The 16,178-nt window shown below is 42.4% G+C and overlaps 2 protein-coding genes across 13 annotated transcripts in view, besides 1 other annotated feature; both read left to right on the top strand.

The window, feature by feature from the left end:
• POC1B-DUSP6 (POC1B-DUSP6 readthrough) overlaps positions 1–16,178 on the top strand; it is a 177,983-nt gene that overhangs the window by 6,735 nt on the left and 155,070 nt on the right. The gene's annotated exons all lie outside the window — the stretch shown is intronic.
• Positions 1–16,178, top strand: part of POC1B (POC1 centriolar protein B) — a 124,581-nt gene that overhangs the window by 6,735 nt on the left and 101,668 nt on the right. The gene's annotated exons all lie outside the window — the stretch shown is intronic.
• Positions 15,297–15,970: an enhancer, noted in NCBI's record as "H3K27ac hESC enhancer chr12:89897120-89897793 (GRCh37/hg19 assembly coordinates)". NCBI's record gives its function as "activates a minimal SCP1, AML or CMV promoter by ChIP-STARR-seq in naive H9 embryonic stem cells {active_cell/tissue: H9 hESC(naive)}" and the evidence as "EXISTENCE:reporter gene assay evidence [ECO:0000049][PMID:30033119]".

The raw sequence follows: 16,178 nt of genomic DNA, 5'->3' as shown, positions 1-16,178 counted from the left end.
AAATTCAGACAGTGGATATTTAAAAAGTCAAAATTCCCATATTATTTTACAACGTGTCATTAATCAGCAAGTATTCTGAAGGGGTGTTAGTACCATTATTTTATTAACTACTCATGAGCAAACTAGAAATGATCTGGGATCTCTGGGGCCCACTTGGACCACTATAAAAGGAAGCAATGGGCACCTGGACATATTAGCACCAATTTCACTACCCTGGGTGGAAAACAAAAATGTCTGTCCTCTAAACCACATATCCTCATATTTCCCCGGTCCATAAATGAAATTCCCTTCCACCAGTGGCCTGTCTCTTCCTCTTTAGTGATTCCTAAATCCCTATACCCCTGTCTCTCCTTGGCCAGACACACTGCCTGAGAATGACTCTTCTAAGGACTCTAACAAAATCAGATGGTCTTATAGCTGCATTTAGCATATATATAGGTGACCTAAACATATTTTCACTAATTTTTATACACTTAAAAGTTCCTGTAAATACTTGTATTCTAACCTTACTCTCTAAGTGACTTGCAGCTCTGTGTAAATCACTTCATCTCTCTGTGTTTCAGTTTCACGAGTATAAAAAAGACTGGAAAATCCATAGAGACAGTACATTAGTGTTTGCCAGGGTCTGGGAAAGGGAGGAATAGAGAACGCTAACAGAGATGAATTTTTGGCAGGTGGCAGGGGGTAGGGGATTATGAGAATGTTCTGGAATTTGTGATAAAAGTTGTGCAAATGTTGGGCAAAACACTGGTGTACTTTAAAAGACTAAATGTTATGGTATTTAAATAATATCTCAGTTTTTAAAAATACCTCAGGAAAAAAAGCAGGCTGGAGAATTTCAGGTGTCTCAGAAAAGATTTCTCTTTGCATGCTAGACCTCTTTGCATGCCTCTGTGCATGCTAGACTTTAGAACAGGCTAGTAGTATTTAGTATTAATAATACTTGAATCATTGTGTAATTTGCAGAATTAAGAAAGTTACACACATATATATGAATGAATCAGTCTGCTTAGTATTAGGTGGGGCTTGGAAATCAGTTTATATTGGAGTTTTTCCTAAAATTTCAGAGAAACTTCAATCAATCCTTTTGGACAGGAGGTGGAGATTACTGTAAAAGGTGAAATGAGCTCCTGAGTTGTATAGTTGTCCACAGCAGAAATGAAAATTAGAGGGCACATGTCCTCAGGACCTCCTGATGCTGTGTCATGTTTAAAAAAAAAAAAAAAGGAAAATTAGAGCAGTCCTTCTAACTTAATAATTATTGGGGTACTACTTTTTCATTCGTGCCAAGCTTTATCAATCTTCCAGGCTGGGCTGGGAGTGATATCTACTGCAGGCCAGCAGTGTCTTCGGGTGTCTGGTCACCATTCTAACCTGTCTATTTGCATTTATCTAATCCTGTTCAAAAGGGGAAGAGGAGGCACTCTATTTATTTACTACTCCCTTATTTAGTTAAGGCTACTGTGTGCCAGATGCCATTTTATGCTCTGGGTATACATACAGAGGGGAAGAAAGCAGATGTGCTTCATAAGATGGTATGAAGAGTTCATGGTCCAGTGGTGGAGACAAATAATTAACAAGTAAACACGAATCCATTTGTTGGAACAACATGATGAAACAAAGGAAAATAGTCAAAGCTGTGAAGGAAAGGAATAGAATGCTTTTTTCTTTTTTTTTTTTGAGACCAAGTCTCACTCTGTTGCCCAGGCTGGAGTGCAGTGGTGTGATCTTGGCTCACTGCAACCTCCATCTCCCAAGTTCAAGCGATTCTCATGCCTCAGCCTCCCAAGTAGCTGGGACTATAGGTGCATGCCATAATGCCTGGCTAATTTTTGTATTTTTAGTAGAGATGGGGTTTCACCATGTTGGCCAGGGTGGTCTGGAACTCCTGACCTCAAGTGATCCACCCACCTCAGTCTCCCAAAGTGCTGGGATTACAGTTGTGAGCCACTGCACCCAGCCATAGAGTGCTTTTTAAAGGGAGGATAACAGTGGAGACATCCTTATATTTATGGGGTCAAGGAATACTTCCCTGTGAAAGTTAGATTTAACTGAAGACCAGAAGGAGAAGTTAGCTAGGTAAGGACTAAAAGGAGAGTAGCATAGGCAAAGATCATGGGTGAGAAAGAGCTGTCCTAGATCAAGAAAGTATAAGAATGCCAGAATGGGTAGAACCTGGTAAACAGAGATGAAGCTGTAGGGGGAGGTAGAGATAGCTTAGGCAGGGCCTTGAAGCTATAGTGGGTTTAAATGGTGGCCCTCCAAAACATGTGTCCATGTCGTAGTCCTTGGAACCTGTGATGTGACCTTATTTGGGAGGAAAAAGTCTTTGTAGATGTAAGTCTACAAAGGATCTTAATGATTATGAGATCATCCTGAATTATCTGGGTGGGCCCTAAATCCAGCGATGTGTCCTTGTAAAAAACATACAGAGGACATAAGAGGAGGCCACGTGAAGCCAGAGGCAGAGATTGGAGTGACACAGCCACAAGCCAGTGAGTGCCTAGAGACATCAGGACCTGGGAGAGGTGGGGAATGAGATATCCCCTAGAGCCTTTGGAGAGAGTGTGGCCCGGCCAACACCATGATTTCAGGCTTCTGGTTTCTGGAACTGTGAGATAATAAATTTCTGTTGTTTTATGCCTCCAGGTTTATGGTAATTTGTTACAGCAGCTACAGGAAACTTGACATGTTTTAGGATTTTGTTCTGAGAGTGGTGGAAATTGTTGGAGGGATTAGTAAGGGAATAACATGATTTGATTTGTACCTCAAAAAGACCACTCTGGCTACTATATGGAGATTGTACTATTAGTAGGGAAATCACTTAGGGGGATTATAGTAATACCAGCAGATGATGTTGGTTCAAACTAGGATAATGGTCTTCAAATTAGTGTGATGGTCTGGGCAAGATGGAAATTTGGGAATTATTAGCATATAAATGGTATTTAGTGTCATGGGAATGAATGAGATCACCTGGGAAGAATGTAGAGCAATGAGAACAAATACCCCATGTCTGAATATTGAAGATATCCAACCTGTAGATCAGAAGAGGAGATAGCAAAATAACCTAAGAAAGAATAATCAGAAAGATAGGAGGGAAAGCCGTTATAGTAGGGTATCATGAAAGCCAAGGGTTAGGAGTGGGGTAGAAATGTTGAAGATAGAGACAATATTAAATAGTCATTAGAGAGAGTGGAGGAAGAAACTAATAGAGAATCATGCACCACTTTGGAGTATATAAGACCCATGTGAACTTAGTTATCAAATTTATAGTGTTTCCAATCTGTTTGGGGGTTGGGTTGACCAGCAATTCTCACTGGTATAGTTATAATCTCAGAAAAGGCAGAGTGATTGGGATTTTTGCCAGGGGAATTTGAAGGAAGGAGGGAGAGTCAAGGGATTGAACGTTATGTGTATGAAGGGGATTATAATTGAATAAGGAGAGAAATGAAGGTTATAAATTGGTTAGTGAAGTGAAGATGGTGAGAAGAGAGCCTCAATGGAGAACATGGGTCTGGATGAGAACATGGGTCTTGGAGTTCTGGATGGGATGGAAGTGAGTGAGTCATAAGGAAAGCAAGTTGTCCTGTGGGTTGCAATCAGAGATTTGAGAAGTGCTCATGTTCTGCTGGTGACAAGATCCTCAGAATGGGTTGCTGAGGAGGCAGGAGAAAAAAGGTCTTTGGAGAGGCCCTATTTTCCCCTTGGTCTGAAATGTTCTTCACCACCTCACTCTTTATTTGGCTGACTCCCTGTCCTTCACACCTCCACTTAAAATGCCCCTGATCACTCTATCTAAATTAAGATTCCACCCCCACACAAAATAAAACTTCCTGCTTTATCTTTCATGCCTCTTAGCACAATTTAAAATGATATAAAGCCAAGCACAGTGGTGCATGCCTGTAGTCCCACCTACTCAAGGGGCTGAGGCAGGAGGGATACCTTGAGCCCAGGAGTTTGAGACCAGCCTGGGGAACATAGTGGGACCCCTATCTTCAAAAAATTAATAAAAATAAATAAATAAATACAATGATATATTTGTCTGTGTTTCCACTTGAATTTAAGCTCCCCAATTAGAGATTTCTGTCTGCTTTGTTACTTAGGACTCCCCCTTTTTGCCACAATGCCTTACATGTTGCTGGGGTCACATATCTGTTGAGTTAATTCATAATGCTCAGAGTTGAAATGGAGAGGAAGACTGTGACCTGAAGTAGCTGACATGTGAAAGAGAAAATGATTGCTGCTTGAAAGGTGTCAGGAAACTTGGTGTCCCCAAGCAGAGTCAAGATTTAAGTACTTAAGGAGGAAGAGGGACTTACAGAGAGGAGGATGTGAATACAAGAGGCATCATCTAGTGGGTGATGTGGCTCAGTGGTAAATTTTGAGGAGAGAAGGCGTGGGTACCAGGTCAGCTTAAGGGGATATCCATAGCATTATGGGAGTGAGAGATTGCACAATGCTTAATGACCAGAGAGGCTTGAGGCTTCAACTTCTGGTCATGATTAGAGGAAGCAGGACCTGAAGCATGTGGATTTTTTTCTTAGTAGACTCTTAGAAGGTAGGATATATTAGTCTGTTCTCCTACTGCAATAAAGAAATACCTGAGGCCGGGCGCAGTGGCTTATGCCTGCAATCCCAGCACTTTGGGAGGCTGAGGCAGGCAGATCACTTGAAGTCAGGAGTTTGAGACTAGCCTGGCCAACATGGTGAAACCCCGTCTCTACTAAAAATAAAAAATTAGCCAGGTGTGGTGGCAGGCGCCTGTAGTCCCAGCTACTTGGGAGACTGAGGGAGGAGAATTGCTTGAACCCGGGAGGCAAAGGCTGCAATGAGCCGAGATCATGCCGCTGTACTCCAGCCTGGACGACAGAGTAAGACTTCGTCTAAAAAAAAAAAAAAAAAAAAAAAAAGAAATACATGAAACTGAGTAACTTATAAAGAAAAGAGTTTTGATTGGCTCACAGTTCCACAGGCTATACAGGAAACATGGCTGGGGAGGCCTCAGGAAACTTAACAATCATGGCAGTAGGTGAAGGAGAAGCAGGCACATCTTACATGGCCAGAGCTGGAGGAAGAGAAGGGGAGGTGCTATATACTTTTAAACAACCAGATCTTGTGAGAACTCACTCACTATCACGAGAACGGCAAGGGGGAATTCTGCCCCTATGATCCAATCATGTCCCTCCAGGCCCCTCCTCCAACACTGGGGATTACAATTCAACATGAGATTTGGGTGGGGTCATAAGTCCAAACCATATTATAGGGGCTCTTAGGTTTCACAGGATGGGTGGAAAGGTGATGAGAGGGAAGAGGATGGGAGAAAACAAAATAGCCTGTGAAGTGTTGTCATCCCTTTTTATGGTTGCGGAAGCTGAAATTTCAGTAACTTGCCCAAAACTATAAAGCTAGTAGGCAGCAGAGCCTAGTAGTGGTCCCCAATCTTTTTGGCACCAGGGACTGGCTTCATGGAAGACAATTTTCACAGCAGGGTTCACACTCCTATGAGAATCTAATGCCGCTGCTGATCTCACTGGAGCTGGAGCTCAAGCCTTAAGGTTTGCTTGCCTGCCGCTCACCTCCTGCTGTGCAGCCCAGTTCCTAATAGGCCATGGACCAGAACCAGTTCGCAGCCTGGGGGTTGGGGACCTCTAGCCTAATAGAGCCTGGTTTGAGTCTGATTTCAGAACCATACCCTTTTCCATTAGGCCAGTCATCCCTTTCGCAGAGGGCCACATTAAAGTTTAAACAAACAGTAAAAGCCTGTTAAAGTATTTTCACAGGGTTTGCAGAATCTGAGCTGTACTTTAGAAGTTTCTGTTGAAAATTACATAATTTTAACATTGAAGTTGTTACTTCCCCCTCTATTTCCTTCAAGGTTATCCTGTCATTGATTCAATCCTGTAACATGTGGTGTGCTTGTACAACAAATGATGGTAAAGAACAAGTTAATCTTTCCTTTTTTGACTGAATAGAAGCAGACTGAAATTTGAACTTTTTAGTTACTTTCCCTGCAGTGAAATCATAATAAAAGTTTGCCAAGAATTCTTTTTTTTTTTTTTTTTCAAATTCTTGATGGCAGCCTATGTGGTACTTTGTGGAGCTTCTCCTATTATAGCTTAAAAAATTACTAAATTTATAAAAGCTGAAAAATTACAAAAGCTAAACTAATTTAGTGTATACACTGAGAGGTAGTAACAGAGTGCAGTGTTTCTCAAATTTCAATGTGCATCAGAATTCAGTGAGAAACTTGTCAAAAATTTATATTCCCAGGTCTCACCCCAAATAATGTATAATTTACTAGAAATAACGTCTTTTTTACAAGGATCCCAGTAACTGTAATGAAGATAATTCATAAATTCCCTTTGCTTTGAGAAGCACTGGTTTATTGGTTAAAAGCCTAGGCTTTGGAATCTTATAAAACTGGGTTAAAAATTGAGCTCTTTTCACTTTTCATCTATATTACCTTGACCAGTTACCTAACCTCACTAAGCCTCGTTTCCTCTTCTGTAAAATAGAGATAATGATATTTATCTGCCTTGTTGTTAGGATTAAATAAAGTAATACTTATAAAGGCGCCTAGTCTGGAGTACAGTGATGCAGTTACAGCACACTGCAGCCTTGACCTCCTGGTCAAGCTCCAGCCGCCCGCCTCCCTCAGCCTCTGGAGTAGCTGGGACTACAGGCATGCACCACGAAACCCAGGTAATTTTTTAAATTGTTTGTAGAGAGCCTCGCTATATTGCTGAGGCTGGTCTTGAACTCCTAGCCTATCGTAGTCCTTCTGCCTTGGCCTCTCGAAGCACTGGGATTACAGGCATGAGCCACCGTGCCTGGGCTTGATACTTACGCAGTATTGAAAAATACTAGGCCCATGGTACCAATTCAGTAAAGGTTTCTGTTGTTGTTATTGCCAGTCCTCAAAGACATGTGAAATTTGAATAAATTAAATTCAATTTCTTCAGCTTGTCATTACTAAAGATTACTTTTTAAAGCACCCACAGCTCCTTTAGACCCAGCTTATACTAGCAAGCTAATTACTTAGTATCAGCTAGAAAGCAAATATGCTTAGTTATTTCCTCATTCAAGGCAAAGGGATTTTAAGTTAGTGCTGTCAGTTAATTGTATTATTATGCAGTGCTTGCATAGTACAAACTACTTCTGACCATATTACAGTATTAAAGTTTGTCTAGTCAAGATTGGAATATTGTCTTTTTATTGTACAACCCTCTCCCTCACTTCCATCTAGGTTTATTGTTGTTTTGAGACAGTCTTACTCTGTCACCCACGCTGGAAGGCAGTGTTGCGATCTCAGCTCACTACAGCCCCAATCTCCTGGATTCTAGTGATTCTCGTGCCTCAGCCTCCCAAGTAGCTAGTACTATAGGTGCACGCCACCACGCCTGGCTCATTTTTGTATTTTTAGTAGAGACAGGGTTTCACCATATTGGCCAAACTGGTCTCAAATTCCTGGACTCGAGTGATTCACCTGCCTTGGCCTCCCAAAGTGCTGAGATTACAGTGAGCCATTATGCCAGGCCCCATCTACGTTTATGGATGTATGTCTGGGGATTGCCTTTTATTTTTCTTTTCTTAAAAATATTTAGAAAGAACTCATTCTCATAGATTTCTTTAGATTTCCCTATTTTTCCCCCAAATAAAGCAGTCTGGTGTTTCTTTTGTGACCCAAAGGCAAGCATGAACCTGGAAATGCAGCATGAAGTACAAAGTCATGGCACCAGGTAAAACTAGAAAGCTGAGTTTATTTTCAGTAATGGACTTTATAGTAGGACATAATGGAGGTAGAAAATACAGAGAAGGACTTCTGAAATAAGTGAAAAATCCAAGGATTTCTATATGAAGGTAATCTGAATTATCAGGAATTTTTTTTTTTTTTTTTGAGACAGAGTCTCACTTTGTTGCCCAGGCTGGAGTGCAGTGGCACCATCTCAGCTCATTGCAACTTCTGCCTCCCGGAGTCAAGCGATTCCCCTGCCTCAGCCTCCCAAGTAGCTGGTGTGCAACACAGTGCCTGGCTAACTTTTTTGCATTTTTAGTAGAGATGGGATTTCACCATGTTGTCCAGGCTGGTCTCGAACTCCTGACCTCAGGTGATCTACCCGCCTCAGCCTCCCAAAGTGTTGGGCTTACAGGCGTGAGCCACTGCACCTGGCCAGTCAGGATTATTTTGAATATGGAATGAAAAGGCCTGAGAGGGAATGTATTTCAAATGTACAAAGTTATCTAAAATATGTACTGTTTGGCCAGGCATGGTGGCTCACGCCTGTATCCCAGCACTTTGGGGGGCCGAAGTAGGCAGATCACCTGAGGCCAGGAGTGTGAGACCAGCCTGGCCAACATGGTGAAACCCTGTCTGTACTAAATACAAAAAAAATTAGCCAGTGTGGTGGGCACCTGTAGTCCCAGCTGCTTGGGAGGCTGAGGCAGGAGAATTGCTTGAACCCAGGAGGCAGAGGCCGCAGTGAGCTGAGATTGTGCCACTGTATTCTAGCCTGGGCGACAGAATGAGACTCCATATCAAAAAAAAAAAAGAATAAAAACATATTTCTTCCTCCAGTGACGAAACTAATTTGTTGCTGAAAATATCAATAGCAAAAACTGCAATTTTGCACAACCTAATAATTGTAAAACTGGACAAAATATATGTGAGTTAGCTGTTTTCAGGCACTGACCTACAGAGAGTGTGAAAACTATGATCTTTGCAAGAAAGAAAACATGCAAGGTGATGATCTCCTTGGCTTTCTTCCTGGGAGCACTTTTCCTGCTGCACAGCAGAGAGGTAGAGCAGCCTCAGAGTAACAGCCTGGCTGAGCTCAGGATGTGCAGAGTGGGAAACTGTGAGACTACCAGGGATCTCTCACTGCTAGACTGAGAGCTGAATGATACTAATGACCATGCAGGGCTGGATGTCTAGGTCTCTAGCTCCAACAAAGAGGAAATCTCTCTGAGCACTTCAGACATTGAGTTGAGACACCAGAAAGGCCAGGTCTTTAGGAATCAGGACCACACCTGAAAGAAAGGGCCATGCCCTAGGACTAATTTCCAAGCTCAAGCAGACCCATGCTACCAAAGAACAAAAGGAAGTGTACAAGAACAAAAAGGAGCCACCTATAATTTAATTGCCTCCCAGTTAAAAAAACGAAACAGGCTGGGCGTGGTGACTCACACTTGCAAACCCAGCATTTTGGGGGGCCAAGGCAGGTAGATCACTTGAGGCCAGGAGTTCGAGACCAGCCTGGACAATATGCTGAAACCCTGTCTCTACTAAAAATACAAAAAAAATTAACTGAGTGTGGTGGCGCATGCTTGTAATCCCAGCTACTTGGGAGGCTGAGGCACAAGAATCACTTGAACCCGGGAGGCAGAGGTTGCAGTGAGCCAAAATCGCCCCACGGCACTCCAGCCTGGGCAACAGAGTGAGACTCTGTCGCAAAAAAACCAAAATTGAATCCTGAACTCTAGTTAGTGGGATTGTTTTTGCAGTGGTGTGGTTCCATGATTCTGAAACTACTGTTTGTATTTTAGGATTGAGCAAAGATATATTGAGCATGGGAGCCAGGTTTCTTATTGTGGGAAAAGAGAGTCACAGATATGGAAAAAAGGAGGGCAAGAATGTATTCTGTGGTGTTAGATTAGAACTCATGGTTTTTAATACCTATATCAATTGATATACCTACATATAGATAGATAATAGCTTTCTATTTATAGCTAATTTCTTAGTTCTGCCCGTTGAGATTTCTGTCTTACTCCTTAGCTCTGTTCACTGACACACCAGTAGCAATAAGCAAACATTGTGCCCAGATATTGGTTTCTAAATACCATTATCCATTAAAAGAAATCAGAGCTTTTGGAGGGGAAAAAAAAAGGCCCATTTCAGGGCTGGAGTGGGAGAAGTACATCTTAGAACATCGTGTAATTCTAGAAAATAAGGGAGTATTTGAAGAATGGAAATATATCAAAAGGACACAGAGGCCAGCTTTTAAAGGGGCTTTCATTTGCCAAATCTGGAACAATTTGAGAGTCAAAATAAATGATAGTTATGGATTATAACCTGTTGAATTAAATAATCTATGCATTCACACTGATAAAAATAAGTAAATGAGTAAACAGATAAATGGAGGAAAATGGATGGTTCTTCCTTACAACAGTAAATACATTTTTAAAATATTCATTAACTTACTAATTAAACATCAATTAAGTAGTAAATCATAGAATGATGGGTTAGAAAATTATGAAAGGATGCTAAAATTAGTGTGTGACAGTTTGGTGAGGAAGACGATATTTATATAGTCTTGTCTCTCCATCTATTAGTCTGTTCACACACTTCTATAAAGAACCGCCTAAGACTGGGTAATTTATAAAGGAAAAAGGTTTAATTGACACATAGTTTCACATGGCTGGGTAGGCCTCAGGAAATTTAGGATCATAGCCTAAGGGGAAACAAACACATCCTTCTTCACATGGCAGCAGGAGAGACAAGTGCAGAGCAAAGGTGGGGAAGCTCCTTATAAAACCATCGGATCTTGTGAGAAATCACTCACTATCATGAGAACAGCCCCCATGATCTAATCACCTCCCACAAGGTCCCTCCCCCAACACATGGATTATAATTCGGATTACAATTCAAGATGAGATTTTCGGTGGGGACACAGCCAAACCATATTATGCTACAAGTTACTAATTAATTCCAAAGGGAAAAATAGTAACTTTACATGGTAGAGGTAGGATCACCTAAACCAAGCAATCAAAGTAAACATCAACACTATTAGGACAAAGAGACATCATGTGCACCCTAATATGATGCACTGCTAAGGGTACAACATAACTTTTGTGATATTCTTGTCAAAATTATATCTTCAATCTAATAAAATTAACAAACATGCTACCAAAATAACAAGCCTATAGTCTTCAAGAACATCAAGGTCAATAAAGACAAAGAGCAACCTAAGAACTCTTCTGTAATTTTTCTGTAAGCTTAAAATTATCAAAATAAAAATTTACCAAAAATAAGAGGGAAAAGGGAATGAGGCAGCTCTAGGTATTAACAAAACATTGTCTCCAACATATATCATGCTAAGTAGACTGAGGAAGCAAGATAGAGAGGCAAAATGCAGAATAGCAAGAATAATATACTACCATTTGTATAAAAAGCATATGAGAATAGACACACACATTTGTATAAGCACAAAGGATTCCCCAGAAATTAGTAATGCTGGTTGCTTCTGGGAAGGAGAACCAGGTTGCCAAGGACTAGAAGGAGATTTCATTAAATGCTGTTTTGTAATGTTGGAATTCTGTAATATTGGAATTCTGTTTCAGGTACACATATTACCAACTGAAAAGATACGTAAGATAATTTGTAAGAAACAAAAAACTGGAGACGGTAACATTTCTTTTCAGAAAATAGTGTTCCAGACAGAGCCTCTAAGTAACTGCAGCTGATTTTGGTCAAATCAATGAGTGAGAAAGCTTGAGTTGACTCAAGGAAGTTATTGGTACTTAAGGTGACACAAAGACGGGTGGCCATTTGGACATTGTGTGACAGACAAAGAGCAAACATGTTTTCCATTTGTTGTTCTTTGTTGTCACCTCCAGAGACAAAGCACTGACCTAGGTAAGCATGGGCTTTGTTCTTTCTTCTGCCAACAGGGATTTCTTGAAACAATGGATTATTGTTATAGAACATAAATAGTTTTTTTAAACTGGTAGATTACTAGTTAATGTTTTCCCTTAATTTCCTCCCTTTTGACATTTTATCTCGAAATAGACCCGTTGAAGATGAATGGTACAAGCTTTGACATTTTAAATTATGTGGTAATGTTTATATAGGGTGTGGTTTAATGGAAATGTATGAAAGCAAATTCCAAGTTGACACAGTACAACACTGACATCAATAACCAAATACATTTTATTATCATGGTATTAGGGTTTGGTAGGACAGTTCTTTCCTAAGAAAGAAGGTTAAGGAAGTAAAGAGGGAAATTCAATGTTGGTTTTCATAGTTTTTTTTTTTTTTTTTTTTTTTTTTGAGACAGGGCCTTGCTCTGTCTGGAGCAGGCTGGAGTGCAGTGGCGCAATCGTGGCTCAGTACAGCCTCTATCTCCCACCTCAGCCTCCCCCACCCCCACAGAGTAGCTGGGAATACAGGTGCAGGTCACCATGCCCAGCTAATTTTTTTGTTATTTTTTGTAGAGACGGGGTTTCGAGACGTTGCCCAGCTGGTCTCAGACTTCTGGGCTGAAGTGATCTGCTGCCTTGGGGGTCGTAATATGTTATATAATATGTATTAACTCCCTCCTATTTTCTTCTGACTCCATGCCTTTCTGGCTTTGATCCCACTTTCTTGAGGAAGAAAACACATGGACAAATTCTGATGTTAGGAATATTTTAAGTATATATCTTCAATATTATTTATCCAGGACCAAAGTAAGTCCTGATGCAGGAAATGAGTGAGTTTCACAGCTTTCTGAGCCCCTACTCGACCCAGGAAGCCCCGCTGGAACCTCCTCTCTCTTGGGCCCAGGGCCAGCTTTGTGGGCATACCTCCTGTACAGTTGCACAGGGCCCCATGCTTAGTTTAATGCTATGAAATTCTTAATTATTTTCCTATAAGAGCTTCACATTTACGTTTTGCACTAGGCCCTGCAAATTATGTAGCAGGTCCTGATCAGGCCTGATTTTACTAAACCTCATTTGACACACTTGTCACCCTCTTGGAATGCTCCTTCTCTTCCTGGACACCACAATGTCCTTGTTCCTCTCCTACTTCGTTTGTGGCTCCTTCCTTTGCTCTTCCTTATCTGAACGTTAAGTGTCCTCAACCTCTTCTTTATCTGTACTGATTTCCTCAGTGATCCCATCTAGTTTACAGTCTTTAGTACTTTCTCTAAGTTACTACTAACAGAGAAAACTTTAGCAATAATAGCTACATTTGAGTATTTTTCATGTGGCAGGCATAAATTGCAAGTACTATTTCCTTTAATACTTTTAACACCTCATTTTGCAAATGAAATGTCCTGGGCACAGAGAGGTGGAATAACTTGCCCAAGGGCACACAGCAGTAAGTGACAGCATGGATTTGAACACAGTGAGTCTAATTTCACAGGGTGTTCTTTTAACCACCACACTGTACAGTCAGAACCTCTCCCTGGGCTCCAGGCGGGGTATATCCATCTTCCTACTTGACATTTTCACTTGTATGTCTAATTGGCATCTCAAAACTACTATGTCCACCCCAACCTGTATCACTTCAGATCTCCTTTTCTGGTCTTTCTCATCTCATTAAATGGCACTAAAACTCACTTCAGTGCCCAGGCCAAAATTCTAGCATCTTCTCTTTTTCTCTCCCTCACATCTAGTCATTAGCAAGTCTCATAGACCCTACAGTATATCTTGATTTTGACTCTTTTTCCTCCTTCCAAGGCTCGCAGTCTAGTCCAGACCACTGCTTTCTCCTGACTGCGTGATTGCAGTAGCCTCCTAATAGATCTGTCCCTTGCCCCTTGTAGCTTCTCCACACAACAGCTAGAGTGATGTTTTCTGCTTTTTCCTAAATGTTTTATTGAAGCATTGATATGTTCCAAAAATTGCACAAATCATATAACTGTAAAGCTTGATGAATATTTAGAATGTGACCTGCTTATTTAACCAAAACCCAGAGTGAGAAGCATAACATTACCAGCATCTCCGGAAGTCCCCTCTTGTGTTCCCTTCCAGCCACTATACTCCCTCCCTGCCATCCACATAATCACTATGTTTGCTTCTAACTTCATAGGTTAATTTTGCTTCTTCTTAAACTTCATATAAGTAAAATTTAACACAGTGGGTATGCAACATGAATATATCACAATTTATGTATTCATTTTACTTGGATAGTTGGGCTTCTAGCTTTGATCTATTGTGAATAGTATTGCCACAAACATTGCACATGTCTTTTGCTAACCATACATAAGAATTTCTGTGGGTATATTCCTAGAAGTGGAATTGCTGAATCAAATACTAAGTATATATTCAGCTTCAATAGATATTTCAAAATAGATTTTCAAAGTGGTTATAACCACTAGTAGTATATGAACATTCCAGTTGTTCTACATCCTCACCAAGATTTGGTGTTATTTATCTTTTTCATTGTAATCATTCTGATGAGTGTGCACGGATATCTCATTGTGGTTTTAATTTACGTTTTCGTGATGACTAATGGAATTGAGCACATTTTCATATGTTTATTGACCATATGGGTATCTTCTTTTGCAAAGTGCCTGTTTAAGTCCTTTGCCTATTTTTGTTGTTGTTGTTGGGTAGTGTGCCTTTTTCTTATTGATTTGTAGCATTCTTTTTAAATTTTATTTTTTTTGTAGAGATGGAGTCTCATTATGTTGCCCAAGTTGGTCTCAAACTCCTGGCCTCAAGTGGTCCTCTCACCTTGGCGTCTCAAATTGCTGGGATTACAGGCATGAGCCACTGTACCTGGCTGATTCGTAGCATTCTTTATAGATTCTGTATATGCACACTTTGTTATGTGTTGGATATATGTGTTGTAAATATCTTCTTTGCCACTTGGTGGCTTGCTTTTCTACTTGGTTAGTGGTATCTCTCAGTGAACAAAACTTCTTAATTTTTGCACAGTACAAATTATCATTCTTTTCCTCTATACTTATTAACGTTAATGTCTTTTTTCTTTCTTTTTTTTTTTTATTGATCATTCTTGGGTGTTTCTTGCAGAGAGGGATTTGGCAGGGTCATAGGACAATAGTGGAGGGAAGGTCAGCAGATAAACAAGTGAACAAAGGTCTCTGGTTTTCCTAGGCAGAGGACCCTGCGGCCTTCCGCAGTGTTTGTGTCCCTGGGTACTTGAGGTTAGGGAGTGGTGATGACTCTTAAGGAGCATGCTGCCTTCAAGCATCTGTTTAACAAAGCACATCTTGCACCGCCCTTAATCCATTTAACCCTGAGTGGACACAGCACATGTTTCAGAGAGCACAGGGTTGGGGGCAAGGTCATAGATCAACAGCATCCCAAAGCAGAAGAATCTTTCTTAGTACAGAACAAAATGGAGTCTCCTATGTCTACTTCTTTCTCCACAGACACAGCAACAATCTGATTTCTCTATCTTTTCCCCACATTTCCCCCTTTTCTATTCCACAAAACCGCCATCGTCATCATGGCCCGTTCTCAATGAGCTGTTGGGTACACCTCCCAGATGGGGTGGTGGCCGGGCAGAGGGGCTCCTCACTTCCCAGAAGGGGCGGCCGGGCAGAGGCGCCCCCCACCTCCTGGATGGGGCGGCGGCCGGGCAGAGGCGCCCCCCACCTCCCTCCCGGACGGGGCGGCTGCCGGGCGGAGACGCTCCTCACTTCCCAGACAGGGTGGCTGCGGGGCGGAGGGGCTCCTCACTTCTCAGACAGGGCGGCTGCCAGGCGGAGGGGCTCCTCACTTCTCAGACGGGGCGGCTGCCGGGCGGAGGGGCTCCTCACTTCTCAGATGGGGCGGCTGCCGGGCGGAGGGGCTCCTCACTTCTCAGATGGGGCGGCTGCCGGGCGGAGGGGCTCCTCACTTCTCAGACGGGGCGGCCGGGCAGAGACGCTCCTCACCTCCCAGACGGGGTCGCAGCAGGGCAGAGGCTCTCCTCACATCCCAGATGGGGTGGCGGGGCAGAGGCGCTCCCCACATCTCAGACGATGGGCGGCCGGGCAGAGACGCTCCTCACTTCCTAGACGGGATGGTGGCCGGGCAGAGACGCTCCTCACTTCCCAGACGGGGTGGCAGCCAGGCAGAGGCTGCAGTCTTGGCACTTTGGGAGGCCAAGGCAGGCGGCTGGGAGGTGGAGGTTGTAGCTAGCTGAGATCATGCCACTGCACTCCAGCCTCGGCAACATTGAGCACTGAGTGAATGAGACTCCGTCTGCAATCCCGGCACCTCGGGAGGCCGAGGCTGGCAGATCACTCGCGGTTAGGAGCTGGAGACCAGCCCGGCCAACACAGCGAAACCCCGTCTCCACCAAAAAAATACAAAAACCAGTCAGGCGTGGCGGCGCGTGCCTGCAATCGCAGGCACTCGGCAGGCTGAGGCAGGAGAATCAGGCAGCAAGGTTGCAGTGAGCCGAGATGGCAGCAGTACAGTCCAGCTTCGGCTGGGCATCAGAGGGAGACTGTGGAAAGAGA

The sequence above is a fragment of the Homo sapiens genome, chromosome 12 (assembly GCF_000001405.40).
Source record: "Homo sapiens chromosome 12, GRCh38.p14 Primary Assembly".
Taxonomy (NCBI): Eukaryota; Metazoa; Chordata; class Mammalia; order Primates; family Hominidae; genus Homo; species Homo sapiens.
The sequence above is the reverse complement of the archived record's forward strand: the minus strand, read 5'-3'. Positions and strand labels throughout refer to the sequence as shown.